Genomic DNA, 1,820 nt, shown 5'->3' on the forward strand with positions numbered 1-1,820 from the left:
CATAACTGCACTTATGGGTCAGAATGCGGGATGTTTAGAGCCACCACTTACTGGCTGTGTGACCTTGGGCAAGTTACTTAACTATTCTATCCTTCAATTCCTTGCTTACAAAATGAGGATAATACCGGGCGCGGTGGCTCCCGCCTGTAGTTCCAGCACTTTGGGAGGCCGAGGCGGGCGGATCACGAGGTCAGGAGATCGAGACCATCCCGGCTAACACGGTGAAACCCCGTCTCTACTAAAAATACAAAAAATTACCCAGGCTTGGTGGCGGGGGCCTATAGTCCCAGCTACTCGCGAGGCTGATGCGGGAGAATGGTGTGAACCCGGGAGGCGGAGCTTGGAGTGAGCAGAGATTGCTCCACTGCACTCCAGCCTGGGCCACAGAGCAAGACTCTGTCTCAAAAAAATAAATAAATAAATAAAATAAAATAAAATAAAATAAAATAAAAAATGAGGATAATACTAGTACCTGTGACATAGCTTTATCATGAGGATTCAATGAATTAATACTTGTAAAGCACTTAGAACAGTGCCTGGCACAGACTTAGTGCTCAATAAATGTCAGTTATTACTTTTATTAAAATTATTAATTTACTTATCTTTCTGTTTGCTGATTTGATTCTGAGCTCCTTGAAATTAAGGACAACACAATGCCCAGCACAAAGTAGAATCTGAACATACATTTCATGCTAATCAAAATTTTAATTTAGGTAAAATACATGTGTGTATGTATATATGTATTTTTTTAATTAAAAACTTCTGTACCTATGCATACCTTAGTGAATTGTGAGCTAATAATGCCCAGAGGTTATACACTTGAACTGAATTTCTTTTTTGATATTCCATGGGCATCTATTAATAATAACAATAAAATTCTATTTTGTTTAAAAACAAGCTCCAAAATACACAATGCCCACAGTCCATGGAGAAGCAAACAAGGTAATCCTTATATTTTCCTTCATGTAAACAAAACACCAAATTTAATTTGCATCTGCATGAAGAAGAGGTTTTCTTTAAAAAAATTCACTAAAAGCAGAAGATGGCATTTAGAAAGAATAATTAAATGCATCTGAAACTCAGGAGATAAAAATAGATGAAGAGTTTTGTAATAAAAACGGCCTAGCCAGATCCCCTCCCTCTCCCTCCAACTTTAAAAATGATGGTACTTGGAGGACAGAAGGAGCTTTTCTTTTAGCGTATCCCTGAAGGCTCTGAGTGTGGATTTTGACTCTGAAAGCCTCTACCTCCTCTTAATGCACAAAGTAGATGTTGTCACAGAATTAGCTTTGACCCCTAAGAAGAAAGATGTTGTCACAGATTTGGCTTTGACCACTTAGGAGGTTTGGTTTCTCTCACCTTCATTCTCCTTGACTCTCTCTAAGAGAAACATTATGGGGCTTGTTTTCCATCCCTCCCTCCCTCTCTCCCTCCCTCCCTCCCTTCCTTCCTTTCTTTCTTCCTCTCTCTTTTCCTCCCTCCCTCCCTCTCTCTCTTCCTTCCTATCTTTTTTATATATATTTTGGACTGTATTTCTGAGAGAGAAATTCCCTAGAATCTCACTGAACCAGCTAACAGAACACCAGCAATGATTAGTGGAGACTGACATCCCCAGGAGAGATTGCCAACCTTTTTCCTGTCTCTGGTGAACTTCCTTAGACAGCACCCACTCTCCCTCCTACCCTTAGGTCATCAGTATCTCTTTCTGCTGCCAAGCAGGCTCATATCTCATATCTGTCTATCTTTGTTTCTTTTTTCTTTTGAGACAGGGTTTCACTCTGTCACTCAGGCTGGAGTACAGTAATGCGATCTTGACTCAC

The sequence above is a fragment of the Homo sapiens genome, chromosome 4 (assembly GCF_000001405.40).
Source record: "Homo sapiens chromosome 4, GRCh38.p14 Primary Assembly".
NCBI classification, from domain to species: Eukaryota; Metazoa; Chordata; class Mammalia; order Primates; family Hominidae; genus Homo; species Homo sapiens.